Source organism: Homo sapiens, chromosome 20, assembly GCF_000001405.40.
Source record: "Homo sapiens chromosome 20, GRCh38.p14 Primary Assembly".
In the NCBI taxonomy this organism is placed as follows: Eukaryota; Metazoa; Chordata; class Mammalia; order Primates; family Hominidae; genus Homo; species Homo sapiens.
This window is the reverse complement of record NC_000020.11, coordinates 17,977,554-17,991,982: the sequence shown is the minus strand read 5'-3', so window position 1 is coordinate 17,991,982 and position 14,429 is coordinate 17,977,554. Positions and strand designations below refer to the sequence as shown.

At 42.9% G+C, this 14,429-nt stretch overlaps 1 protein-coding gene across 15 annotated transcripts in view, besides 1 other annotated feature; it reads right to left on the bottom strand.

The window, feature by feature from the left end:
* The window catches only part of MGME1 (mitochondrial genome maintenance exonuclease 1), a 22,533-nt gene continuing 8,964 nt past the window's right edge, over positions 861–14,429 (bottom strand). For 9 of the 15 annotated variants that reach the window (XM_017028128.2, XM_011529394.1, XM_047440582.1 and 6 more), the window contains 2 exons: positions 3,685–3,817; positions 861–2,044 (listed from right to left, as the gene is read on the bottom strand). In XM_017028128.2, the coding sequence (XP_016883617.1) occupies positions 1,874–2,044; positions 3,685–3,817 (304 nt within the window). In that variant the 3' untranslated portion in view covers positions 861–1,873. The remainder of the gene's footprint in view (positions 2,045–3,684; positions 3,818–14,429) is intronic. The other 6 variants (XM_047440586.1, XM_047440584.1, XM_047440585.1 and 3 more) reach the window with 1 other exon arrangement.
* Positions 7,618–8,571: an enhancer, noted in NCBI's record as "NANOG hESC enhancer chr20:17964055-17965008 (GRCh37/hg19 assembly coordinates)". NCBI's record gives its function as "activates a minimal SCP1, AML or CMV promoter by ChIP-STARR-seq in naive and primed H9 embryonic stem cells {active_cell/tissue: H9 hESC(naive and primed)}" and the evidence as "EXISTENCE:reporter gene assay evidence [ECO:0000049][PMID:30033119]".

Sequence of the window (14,429 nt, the reverse complement as noted above, 5' to 3'; positions counted from 1 at the left end):
TGCACGCCTGTAATCCCAGCTACTTGGGAAGCTGAGGCAGGAGAATTGCTTGAGCCCGGAAGGCGGAGGCTGCAGTGAGCCCACCGCACTCCAGCCTGGCTGACAGAGCCAGATGGTCTCAAAAAAAAAAAAAAAGAAAAATAAAAAGAAATTTTGTTAGGTCTAGCCTCCTAAATTCTAGGTTGAGGCTTATTAGAGCAGAGTGGCAAACTCTGCTAGCACAACTTTTAATTGCCTCACTTCATTTTTGACTGGAATTTACAGGCTACAGAAATATGTATCTGCAGCTTGAGAAAAACCCACATGAATGCAGAAGTGTATAGAGATAATACAAAGGTCCCCCTTGATCCTCCCATCTCCTACCTGAATATTGCTTTCCTTGCTAGGTGACCGTGGCTGAGGGCTTAGTGAGGAGGCTTTTTTTTTTTTTTTTTTTTAAACGGAGTCTCGCTCTGTCGCCCAGGCTGGAGTGCAGTGGCGTGATCTCGGCTCACTGCAAGCTCCGCCTTCCGGGTATACGCCATTCTCCTGCCTCAGCCTCCGGAGCACCTGGGACTACAGGCGCCCGCCACGACGCCCAGCTAATTTTTTGTATTTTTAGTAGAGACGGGGTTTCACCGTGTTACCCAGGATGGTCTCGATCTCCTGACCTTGTGATCCGCCCGCCTCGGCCTCCCAAAGTGCTGGGATTTCAGGCGTGAGCCACTGCGCCCAGCCGAGGACGCTTTCTTTTATGCACTTACACAGAACTCTCACCAAAGCTATTGGGCTTGTAAAATTCTGAATTATAAAAAAAGTGCAAACAATTTCCAGGTTTATAAAATTATCCTATAAACACACAAAGTAAACAAAACCAAAGCTTCATTACTCATATCTTGTATTTTATTTCTTATGAAAATGGCTACCCAAAGAAGTCATTGTAGCAGGCTACTATTTTAAGGCAGCAACTGTATAACTTAAATGCTAAGACTCACTCCATAAGACAGAAAACCCTTCCCCAGGGCTGTAATGGGCATTTAAGTTTCCCAAACCCAGGGACAACTAATTTTTATTACCTATTGAATAGAAACAAATGGATTTTAATAGTTCCCCTCCCCTATAGCTGAAAAACTCCACAAACAATAATTGACTCTATCTACATGATCTGTTGACTCACGCCAGAAATAGTTACTAAAACACTTAGAATTGTGATGTTCAAACTGGCCTCTGGCTACTTCTGGGGGGTTATTTGGTGTTACGCAATGACATATTGCCAGCGACATGGTGAATATACTGTCTTTATAGTCAGCAATGTTTAGTTGAGGCTAATCACGTATTTATTTTTTCAAAAGGTTAAATGTAAGCTTTTCCCAGCTGAAATATATAGAAAACCCCAATGTATGAAACAAGTTTTAGGCATTGGTGTTGGCAGCGGTAGTGGGCTGATGTGTCCTCCCTGCACACAGCTGGGGGCATGTAGCCCCTTCCCCTCTGGGTGAACCCTGGGGAAATCTTGGCACCCTCAGCCTCACTGCCTTCCAATCTCAGCTCAAAGACTGGGCATCCTGCCTGGGACCACGCCCCCCCCCCCCCAATGTCCCTCAAGGGAGTACAAGAGTCACCAGCATGACTGCCCATCCTGCGTGTCCTCCTTTCAGGTAAATAAGAGGTAGCATAGCTGGGATTTCGCGTGCCGAAGTCTAGGTCTTTATATCTAGACTTTGGGGCTTTTCAGTCTTTTTGGTAACAACACATTTCAACAAATTAATACTTCTACTTGTGTTCGTGTAGCACTCAGATCCAGTGGCACCTCATTTTTACACTGGAGTAAACAGCAATATATGTTCCCAAACTGTGAGAAGGTGCTGAATGTTCCCAAATAGCAACTTGCTCCCTATTCTGAATATTCTGGTTTCTGAATATTCTGGTTCTTTTTCTTTTCCGTATATTCTTCTAGTCGAAGAAGCCACTTGGTCCAGTACTGGGAACAGAGCTCTGCATCCATGAAATGTGGGTGGGCAGGTGATCCATCTTTGTAGGCCACCACAATTAAGCCACATTGAACCTAGGAAGAAACACAGGGCAATTCTCGTTTCACTACAGTAGGTCCAGAGTTTAGGTTCGTTTCCTTCTTACTCCAGGGCAAACTCAGTATAAAATAATCTACAGGATATCTCCTAACTCAGTTTCTAAGGTAGGTTGATCAAAGACTGCACCAGGACACAAGAACACAAAGATGACAGATAAAACATTGAAGACTGGGCTGTGATCCTTACAGAGCCATTGAAAAAAAAAAAAGGCCCAAGAAGAGGGTGGAAAAGTGCTTTTTTTTTCTTTTTTGAGACAGGATCCCACTCCCATCGTCCAGGCTGGAGTGCAGTGGCACAATCTCGGCTCGTTGCACCCTCGAAGCTGAGGCGGGCACCACTTCCGGCTGATTTTTCTATTTTTAGTAATGATGGAGTTTTGTCACGTTGCCCAGGCTGGTCTTGAACTCCTGGGCTCAAGCAATCTGCCCACCTCGGCCTCCTTCAAAGTGCTGGGATTACAGGCATGAGCCACCACCCCTGGCCAAAAAGTGCTATTTATTTATTTATTTATTTATTTATTTATTTGGAGAGAGACAGTCTTGCTCTGTTGCCCAGGCTGGAGTGCAGTGGAACAACCTTGGCTCACCGCAACCTCCGCCTCCTGGGTTCAAGCGATTCTCCTGCCTCAGCCTCCCAAGTAGGTGGGACTAGAGGCACACACCACCACGCCCAGCTAATTTTTGTATTTTTAGTAGAGACAGGGTTTCGCCATGTCAGCCAAGCTGGTCTTGAACTCCTGACATCAGGTGATCTGCCCAACTCGGCCTCCCAAAGTGCTGGAATTATAGGCTTGGGCCACCACACCTGGCCTATTTATTTATTTTTGAGACAGGGTTTTGCTCTGTCGGCCAGGCTAGAGTGCAGTGGTACAATCTCGGCTCACTGGAACCTCCACTTCCTGGGCTCAAGCAATCCTCCCACCTCAGCCTCCCAAGTAGCTGGCACAAGTGTGCGCCACCATGTCCAGCTAATTTTTGTATTTTTTTTGTAGATACGGGGTTTCACTATGTTGCCCAGGCTGGACTCAAACTCCTGAGCACAAGCAATCTGCCTGCCTCGGCCTCCCAAAGTGCGTGAGCCACTGTGCCCAGCCAAAAAGTGCTTTTTTAAGTGGGAAAGGAACAAGGAAGACGTTAAGCAATGGGATAAAAATAGAGATTAAAAAAGGAAAAACCTCAAGGAGTTCTATTTTTTAACTTTTTTTTTTTTTACAATTTTTCTCCTCCTACCCCCCCACTGAGAAGTTTTTTTTTTTTTTTTTGAGACAGATTCGAGATGGAGTCTCACTCTCTTGCCCAGGCTGGAGTGTAGTGGCGCAATCTTGGCTCACTACAACCTCCACCTCGCGGGTTCAAGCAATTCTCCTGCCTCAGCTACTAGAATAGCTGGGATTACAGGCATGAGCCACCATGCCCAGCTAGTTTTTGTATTTTTGGTAAAGACAGGGTTTCACCATATTGGCCAGGCTGGTCTTGAACTCCTGACCTCAAGTGATCCACCGGCCTTGGCCTCCCAAAGTGCTAGGATTACAGGCATGAGCCACTGCGCCCGGCCCGGAGTTATAGTTTTAAGTAAGCATTGAGCAAAGCTTTAAGTAAAGGCTCAGTGTCCTGACCTGAAAGCTGTAGTTGGTATCATGGTTCATGGCACCCATGTATGCCACAACTTGCAGTGGGTTGTCAAATGTACTTTGAATAAAAGGCTTTGGTTTCTCTGATGTCTTCCAATCAATCACACAGAGCTTGCCCCTAAAGAGAAACCACAGGAAGACTTTGTAGGTAATAGATCACAATGAAAATCTCTACTAGGTTAACAGTTCTCTTATGTATAGTTTGTTACTTGTCAGCCAATGACCATTGCTCTTATTCACCATTTTTTTCCTTTTTTAAAAAAGAGATGGGGTTTCATATGTTGCCCAGGCTAAACGCATACTCCTGGGCTCAAGTGATCCTCCCACCTCAGCCTCCCAAGTAGCTGGGACTATAAGTGCACCCCCCCACTTTTTCTCCCTCTTTTTTTGCATCAAATAACCAGTGGATTCCTCCCCCCATCCCCTATCCTGGTCGGGTTTATACTTGCCAAATGCAAATATCAAAAGGATACAGAGAGTGGACCAGTAACTGGTGACTCTCAAAGGACTCTATCGGTTCAATCTGTCTTTCATGACTTCAATTTCAAAATCAGCAGTTTATAGGGAGATTTTGTACAAAGCATGTATATTACTTACATGTCACTATAGCTCTAGACAGTTACACCTCATGCAAACTCAGTCTAGAGCAGCACTGGCTAAAAGAAGTAAAATGTGAGCCATGTGTCATTTTAAATTTTCTAGTAGCCACATCGGAAAAGAAAAAAAAAATACAGCTGAAATTTTAACATTTTACTTAACCCAACATATCCAAAATATCATTTCAACATGTAATCAACTAACAAATGATTAATGGGATATTTTACGTCTTTTTTTTATTATAGGGATATTTTACATTCTTTTTTGTACAAAGTCATTGAAATGTAGTTTGTATATTGCTATAGCACACCTTAGTTTGGCCTGACCACATTCAAATGCTCAATAGCTATAGGGGTTAGTGGCTACTCTACTGGACAGTTTAGGTTTAGAGATAATTTTATTGTCTTCAGAATTGTTTTGTAATATTGCCAAGTTTGACAATCTGTGTAGTTGAGAAAAGGGCCCCAGTAACTCTAGGATGCCATTCCTGGTTCTTCTTTTTTTTTTTTTTTTTTTAGATGGAGTCTCACTCAGGCTGGAGTGCAGTGGTGTAATCTCGGCTTACCACAACCTCCGCCTCCTGGGTTCAAGCTATTCTTCTGCCTCAGCCCCCTGAGTAGCTGGCATTACATGTGTGCGCCACCTCGCCCAGCTAATTTTTGTATTTTTAGTAGAGATGGGGTTTCGCCCTATTGGCCAGGCTGGTTTCAACTCCTAACCTCAAGTGATCCACCCGCCTTGGCCTCCCAAACTGCTGGGATTACAGGTGTGAGCCACCATGTTATATTTCTGCCACAGAACACTGTTTGCAGCAATGTACTGTAATTGTAGAACTTAATAAATGTAAAAAAAAAAACCTTAATAGCATTCTGAAAACTATAAAATATTGATGAAAGAAACTGAAAATGATACAAATAAATGGTAAGATATCCTCTGTTTATGGACTGGAAGAATATTGTTAAAATGTCCATACTATCCAAAGCAATCTATAGGTTCCACGCAATCTTTATCATAATTCCAATGGCAGGCCAGGTGTGATGGCTCACACCTGTAATCTCCAGCACTTTGGGAGGCCAAGGCAGGTGGACTGCTTGAGCTCAGGAGCCCGAGACCAGCCTGGGCAACATGGTGAAACCCTGTCTCTATAAAAAATACCAAAAAATCAGCCAGGTGTTGTGGCTGGAGCCTGTTGTCCCAGCTACTCAGGAGGCTGAGCCCAGGAGGTGGAGTTTGCAGTGAGCCGAGATTGCACCACTGCACAACAGCGTGGGTAACAAAGCCAGACCCTGTCTCAGGAAAAAAGAAAAAAAAAAAATTCTGCCGGGCACGGTGGCTTACACCTGTAATCCCAGCACTTTGGGAGGCCAAGGTGGGCAGATCACCTGAGGTCAGGAGCTCCAGACCAGCCTGGCCAACATGGTGAAACCTCGTCTCTACTAAAAATACAAAAATTAGCCAGGCGTGGTGATGTGCCCCTGTAATCCCAGCTACTCGGGAGGCTGAGGCAGGAGAATTACTTGAACCTGGGAGGCAGAAGTTGCAGTGAGCTGAGACTGTGCCATTGCACTGCAGCCTGGGCGACAAGGGTGAAACTCTGTCTCAAAAAGAAAAAAAAATTCCAACATCATTTTTCACAGAAATAGAAAAAAAAAAATCCTAAAATTAACACGGAACCACAAAAGACTCCGAATAGCCAAAGCAATCTTGAGTGAAAAGAATGAAGTCGGAGGCATCACACTGCCTGATTTCAAAGTACAGTCATGTGTAGCTTAATGACAGGGATATGTCCTGAGAAATGCATGGTTAGGCAATTTTGTCATTGTGCAAACATAGAGTATATTACACAAACCTAGGTAGGATAGCCTACTACACACCCAGACCTTTGCTCCTAGGCTACAAACCTGTACAGCATGTTACTGTACTGAATACTGCTGGCAACTATAACACAATGGTAAGCATTAGTGCATCTAAACACAGAAAAGGTACAGTAAAAATGTGGTATAAAAGATAAAAAACAGTATACTTGTATAGGGCACCTACCACGAATGCAGCTTGCAGGACTAGAAGTTGCTCTGGGTGATTGAGTGAGTGAGCGGTGAGTGAATGTGAGGGCCTGGGACATTACTGTATACTACTATAGACTTTATAAACACTGTACACTTACGCTACACTAAATTTATAAAAAACGTTTTTCTTTCTTCAATAATACATTAACTTTAGCTTACTGTAACTTTTTTACTGTATAAACTTCTTTAATTATTTTGAGATGGTGTTTCACTCTTGTTGCCCAGGCTGGAGTGCAATGGCACAATTTTGGCTCACTGCAACCTCCACCTCCCAGGTTCAAGCGATTCTCCTGCCTCAGCCTCCCAAATAGCTGGGATTACAGGCATGCACCACCACGCTTGGCTAATTTTGTATTTTTAGCAGAGATGGGGTTTTGCCATTTTGGCCAGGCTGGTTTCAAACCCCTGACCTCAGGTGATCCACCCACCTTGGCCTCCCAAAGTGCTGGGATTACAGGCATGAGCCACCATGCCCGGCCACTTCTTTAATTTATTGACTCTTGTAATAATACTTATCTTAAAACAAACACATCGTACAACTATACAGAAATATTTTCCTTTTCTTTTTTTTTTTTTTTTTTTTTGAGACAAAGTCTTGCTCTGTCACCCAGGCTGGAGTGCAGTGGTGCAACCTTGGTTCACTGCAACCCCCACCTCCCGGGTTCAAGCAATCTTCCTACCTCAGCCTCCAGACTAGCTGGGATTACAGGCATGTGCCACCACACCCGGGTAATTTTTTGCATTTGTAGCAAAGACGGAGTTTCATCGTGTTGCCTAGGCTGGTCTCGAACTCCTGACCTCAAGTGGTCCACCTGTCTCGGTTTCCCAAAGTGCTGGGATTACAGGTGTGAGCCACCATGCCCCGGCCTCTTTTTTGATATCTTTATTCTACATGCTTTTTCTATTATTAAAATTATTTTTTACCCCTTAAACCTTTGTTAAAAACTAAGACACAAACATACACATTAGCCTAGGCCTACACAGGGTCAGAATCATAGTAAATACCAGTAATATGCCAGTAATAGTTGTTTATAAGCTGGTTATATACCAGCTTATGCCAGTAATAGTTGTTTATTACCATTATCAATTATATACTGTAGTGTACATAATGGTATGTGCTGTTTTTATATGACTGAATAGGAGGTTAGTTTATACCAGCATAACCACGAACACGAGTAGTATGTTGCACTATAACATAACATCACTAGATGATAGGAGTTTTTCAGCTCCATTATAATCTTATGGGACCACTGTTTACATGTAGTCTGTCGTTGACTGAGATATTGTTATGTGGAACATGGCTGTATAAAGTAAAGCTGTTATAATCAAACAGCATGATAATAGCATAAAAGCAGACACCTTAAACCAATGGAACAGGACAGATAGCCCAGAAACAAAACCATGAATTTACAGTCAATTGATTTTCAATAAAGGTACCAAGAACGAACAATGGGGAATGTTTTGTCAATTGTGTTAGGAAAACTGGGTATCGACTTGCATAAGAATGAAATTGTACCCTATCTCATACCACATACAAAAATCAACTTAAAATTTAAGACCTGAAACTGTAAAACTACTAGAAAAAAAACAGGAGAAAAGCTCCCCAACACTGATCTGAGCCATGATTTCTCAGAAGCCCAAAAGCACAGGTAACAAAAGCAAAAACAGACATATACATCCAAATAAAAAGCTTCTGCATAACAAAGGAAACAACAGTGAAGACACAATCCACAGAATGGGAGAAAATATTTGCAAACCACCTATCTGATAAGGGGATAATATCCAAAGTATATAAGGAACTCAAACAACTAAATAGTAACAAAACAAATAACTTGATTAAAAAATGGGCAAAGGAGCTCAATGAATATTTCTTAAAAGAAGACATGAATGACCAACAGATAGATGAAAATATGCTCAATATCTCTAATCATTAGTGAAAGACAAATCAAAATCACACTGGGCTATTATTACCTCATGCCTGTTAGAATGGCTATTATCAAAAAGACAAAAGGTAAGTGTTGGTGAGGACTGCAGAAAAGAGAACCCTGATAAACTGTTGGTGGGCATGTAAATTAGTATAGCCATTTGAGAAAACATCATGGAGGTTCCTCAGAAAACTAAAACATCTAAAAACTGAAACCAGAACTACTATACGATCCAGGAATCCTACTTTTGGATATATAGCCAAACGAATTAAAATCAGTATGTTGAAGAGACACCTGCAATCCCAGGTTCACTGAAGCATTATTTACAAAGGCCAAGATGCGGAAACAACCTAAGTGTCCATCTATGGATAAATGGATAAAGAAAATGTGGATACACACACACACACACACACACACACACACACACAATAGAACACTACATAGCCTTTAAAAAGAAGGAAATTCTGTCATTTGTGACATGGGTGAACATGGTGAACATTTTGCTGAGTGAAATAAGCTGGGCACAAAAAGACAAATACTGCATGATTTCATTTATATGTGGAATCTAAAAAAGTCGAACTCAGAAAGAGAGAGAGTAGAATGGTGATTACAAGAGGATAGGGATGGAGAGTGGGGAAGAGGAAAGGGGAGATGCTGATCCCAGGGTAAGAGGTTTCAGTTAGGTCAGAAGAATAAATTTTAGTGATCTGTTGCACAGCATGGTGACCATATTTAATAATGCATTGTATATTTAAAAGTTGCTAAAAGAGTAGATTTTAAAGATTCTCACCACCAAAAAATGATAAATAGGTGAAGTGATGGATATGATAATTAGCTTATTTAATCTTTCCATTAGGTATACATATATCAAAATATCATACTGTAGCCTATAAATATATATAATTATTGTCAGTCAAAAACATTTTTTAACATCATAGTAGCGTAAACCCAAATTAAAAGTACAGTAACAGTTCACAAATAGCTCTTAAATGAAAAGATGCTCAGTCTCACTTATGTGACATGCAAATTAAAAATACAATGTTATCAAAATTACTAACACTGTATTGTTAAATGTATTCACTCATATTCTTGGTAATTTAAAATGCATACCCTTGACCCAGCAACCTTCCTAAAGTATAGGATAGCAATGGCTTGATATCCTGAGTACAAGTGAAGTGACAAGTGCCTGGGAGATTTAAGAAGCAGTCATGTCCGGGTCTACTTCAGACCAACTAAATGGATTGTAACTGCATATATCACACGTCTAAAACAAACAGGCCAGGCATGGTGGCTCATGTCTGTAATCCCAGCACTTTGGGAGGCTGAGGTGGGTGGATCACCTGAGGTCAGGAGTTCGAGACCAACCTGGCCAACATGGTGAAACCCTGTCTCCACTAAAAACAAAAAATTAGCTGAGCATGGTGGCACATGCCTGTAATCTCAGCCACTTGGGAGTACAAGACAGGAGAATCGCTTGAACCCAGGAGGTGGAAGTTGCGGTGCCGCACCATTTCACTCCAGCCTGGGCAACAAGGGTGAAACTCCGTCTCAAGAAAAAAAATAAATAAACAAATGAATCTGTGCATCTGCCTAGAACAGCTCTGTAATATACAAAGAGGCACATTTGCTGCAGCACTGTTTGTAATTGTGGAAAACTAGAAATAATCTGAGTGTTCCCAATAGGGAAATGGGTAAGGCTCATTCATACAAAAGAATACAAAAAACGAGTTAAGAGAGAAGTAGGGCCAGGTGCAGTGGCTCAAGTCTGTAATCCCAGCACTTTGGGAGGCTGAGATGGGTGGATCACCTTAGGTCAGGAGTTCGAAACAAGCCTGGCCAACATGGCAAAACCCTGTCTCTATTAAAAATACAAAAAAAATTAGCCAGGCACCTGTAATCCCAGCTACTCAGGAGGGCGAGGCAGAATTGCTGGAACCTGGGAGGCGGAGGTTATAGTGAGTCCAGATTGTGCCACTGCACTCCAGCCTGGGCAATAGAGCGAGACTCTGACACACACACACACACACACACACACACACACACACACGAGTAGTAGATTGGGCAAGGTGGCTCACGCCTGTAATCCCAGCACTTTGGGAGGCTGAGGTGAGGATCATACTTCCTTCCCAGTTCTAGATTAGTCTGGGCAACACAGCAAGAATTATTTCTATAAAAAAGTAAAAAAAGAAGTAGATCAAAATAATAATGTAACATCTACTGAATACATAGTATGCATTAAGCACTCTTCAGGGAATATCTCATTTTATAACAAGGTAGGTACTACCATTTGTCTTATCTTAAAGATGAATAAATTGAGACAGAGAGCGACTAAGTAATTAATCTAAGGTTAAGATGAAAAGCCAAGCCAGAATCCAAACTCAAGCAGCTGGCTCCTGAGCCCAATATCTTACTAGCTTTGTGATGCTGTGTATCTAGAGATGTCTGTATATTATGACTGTCACAGTTCTGCATGAAATCATACATAAGTGCTGCCTATGCATGTGTATTATACATAGCATTATGTGTGTGCTAAGAGTATAGAGGGCACATATTCTTAGGTTCTCCTGATGCTGTGTCACAGATCATTGGTCATTAAAAAAAGAAAAGAACAAAAAAGAGCGTAGAAGGCAGACTAGAAGGAGGTAGTGCCAAACTTAAAACAGCAATCGCCTTTGGCCACGGGTGGTTCAACAGAATTTGGGGTTAATCTGTAATATTATATTTCTTTAAAAAAAAGATCTCCATGTAATCACAGGGATAAGGAAAAAAAAAGTTTTAAGCAAATGCACCAGTGTTAAGTGTTAATTGTGGGTGGTGGAAAATTATTACATGAGAAAAGAATGTTACAGATCTATATAAACTAATAAAAGATTTTTTTTTTTTTTTTGAGATGGAGTCTCACTCTGTCACCCATGCTAGAGTGCAGTGGCGTGATCTCAGCTCACTGCCAGCTCCGCCTCCCGGGTTCACGCCATTCTCCTGCCTCAGCCTCCCAAGTAGCTGGGACTACAGGCGCCTGCCACCATGCCTGGCTAACTTTTTGTATTTTTAGTAGAGATGGGGTTTCACCGTGTTAGCCAGGATGGTCTCAATCTTCTGACCTCGTGATCTGCCTGCCTTGGCCTCCCAAAGTACTGGGATTACAGGTGTGAGCCACTGCGCCCAGCCTGATTTTTTTTTAAATAATTTTTTTAAGTGGAAAAAAGCAGGGTATATCATCTTGTGTTAAAAAATGAGTGTGGGGACAAATGATTGTACATATGGTCATACAATATCTCAGGAACACAGGAGCTTTTTAAACAGAGGTTCAATACAGAGTGGGTGTGGGGAGTTACTCTTAATAGCATATTACCCATTAAAAATTCAGTGGGGTCGGGCACAGTGGCTCACACCTGTAATCCCAGCACTTTGGGAGGCCGAGGCAGGCAGATCTCCTGAGGTCAGGAGCTTGAGACCAGCCTGGCCAACATGGTGAAACCCCGTCTCTATGAAAAATACAAAAATGAGCTGGGTATGGTAGCAGGCGCCTGTAATCCCAGCTACTAGAGAGGCTGAGGCAGGAGAATCACTTGAACCCGGGAAGCAGAGGTTGTAGTGAGCCAAGATCTCGCCATTGTACTCCAGCCTGGGCGACAACAGCAAAACTCCTTCTCAAAAACAAAATCGGCCAGGCATAGGGGCTCACGTTTGTAATTCCAACACTTTGAGAGGCTGAGGTGGTGGATCACTTGAGCCCAGGAGTTCAAGACCAGCCTGAGCAAAATGGTGAGACCCCACATCTACAAAAAATAGAAAAATTAGTTGGGTGTGGTGGTGCATCCCTGTAGTTCCAGCTATTTGGGAAGCTGAGGTGGAAGGACAGCCTGAGCCTGGGGAGTTAGAGACTGCAGTGAGCCCTGAATGCATCACTGCACTCCAGCATGGGTGACAGTGAAAGACTGCCTCAAAAAAATAAACTAAAATAAAATAAAAAATTATTAGGCCCGGTGCGGTGGCTCACACCTGTAATCCCAGCACTTTGGGAGGCCGAGGCGGGCAGATCACGAGGTCAGGAGATCGAGACCATTGTGGCTAACACGGTGAAACCCTGTCTCTACTAAAAATACAAAAAAAAAAAAATTAGCCGGGCGTGGTGGCATGCGCCTGTAGTCCCAGCTGCTGGGGAGGCTGAGGTAGGAGAATGGCGTGAACCCGAGGCGGAGCGTGCAGTGAGCCGAGATCGCGCCACTGCACTCCAGCCTGGGTGACAGAGCAAGACTCCATCTCAAAAAAATAAATAAATAAAATTAAAAAAATAACAAAAATAAAAAATTCTTAGCTGGGCGCGGTGCCTCACACCTGTAAATCCCAGCACTTTGGGAGACGGAGACAGGCAGCTTGCTTGAGTTCAGGAATTCTAGATCAGCCTGAGCAACATGGCAAAACCCCATCTCTACAAAACATACAAAAAAATTAGCTGGGCGTGGTTGTTCGCATCTGTGGTCCCAACTACTCAGGAGGCTGAGGTGGGAGAATCGCTTGGGCCTGCGAGGTGGACGTTGCAGTGAGCCGAGATCATGCCACCGCACTCCAGCTTGGGCAACTGAACAAAACTGTGTCTTAAAAAAAAAAAATTCTAGGCTGGGTGCAGTGGCTCACACTTACAATCCCAGCACTTTGGGAGGCTGAGGCGGGCAGATCACTCAAGGCCCGGAGCTCGAGACCAGCCTGGGCAACATGTCCAAACCCCATCTCTACTAAAAACACAAAAAATTAGCCAGGCGTGGTGGTGGGTGCCTGTAGTCCTAGCCACTTGGGGAGGCTGACACAGGAGAATTGCTTGAACCCAGGAGGCAGAGGTTGCAGTGAACTGAGATTGGGCCACCACACTCCAGTCTGGGTGACAGAGCAAGACTCTGTCTCAAAAACAAAAACAAAAACAACAAAAAAAAACCGTAGTTTCAAAAATGTTCATATTACCAAGGTTGATGTTGACTTAAAAAGCAAAAAACAAACAACAGTGCTATGGACATATTTTATCATCTCTATGACAAGCATTGGGTGTCAGGAACTTCTTGTAGGCCTTGGGTGGAGGTGACTGTATGGCTTCCTTGGTTTATCTAAAAGGCAACCAAAGTCTATTAAATCTCTTGGTATACAGGGCTCTTCTCAGATATGACGCAGTTGTGCTATAAAACCATTAGGTGGTCTAGGCCAGGCGCGGTGGCTCACGTCTGTAATCTCAGCACTTTGGGAGGCTGAGGTGGGTGGATCACCTGAGGTCAGGAGTTCGAGACCAGCCTGGCCAACATGGCGAAACCCCATCTCTACTAATAACACAAAAATTAGCCGGGTGTGGTGGCGTGCACCTCTAATCCCAGCTACTTGGGAGGCTGAGGCAGGAGAATCGCTTGAACCCAGGAGGCAGAGGTTACAGTGAGCCAAGATCACGCCATTGCACTCCAACCTGGGCAACAAGAGTGAAACTCCGTCTCAAAAATAAATAAATAAAAAATAAAACCATTAGGTGGTCTAAACAGTTTTCAGACTATCAAGGGTGCCCACTCTTTCGGCTTCCTGGCCCACATTGGAAGAATTGTCTTGGGCCACACAATAGCTGATGAACTAAAAATAAATAAATAAATAACCAAAAAAAAATCTCATAATGTTTTAAGAAAGTTTACGAATTTGTATTGGGCTGTGGAATAGACAAGCTTTTAAACTTAAATTTTAACTAGAGCTTCAAGGTTTACATGAACGGATTTTTCTATCTTGTTCTTAGTGATCGCTTGCCTTATTTGGATTAGGGGTACCTGCAGGTTGTAGCCACCTTTGTATCAGAGGCGTTCGAACGAGAGCAACTCCATCTTGAGTGAGGGCTAGGAAAGTGAGGCTGGGCCTTGCTGGGCTGCATTCCCAGAAAGTCAGGCATTCATAGCCTCTAGATGTTTAAGGTTAAGGGAACAAATTAATAATGTTTACTAAACAGACCCAGACTTGGGAGTGTCCAGATACCCTGATATCTGGAGAACGAAGGCATTCCTAATTTTGCTTTAAAGATAGTATCGATTCTTGCAAAATATAATAATTAAGAAAATTAATCCTTTATCACAAACCCTTGCAGTAGAGCACATCTCCCCAAGATCTCTTTTTTTATCTTATA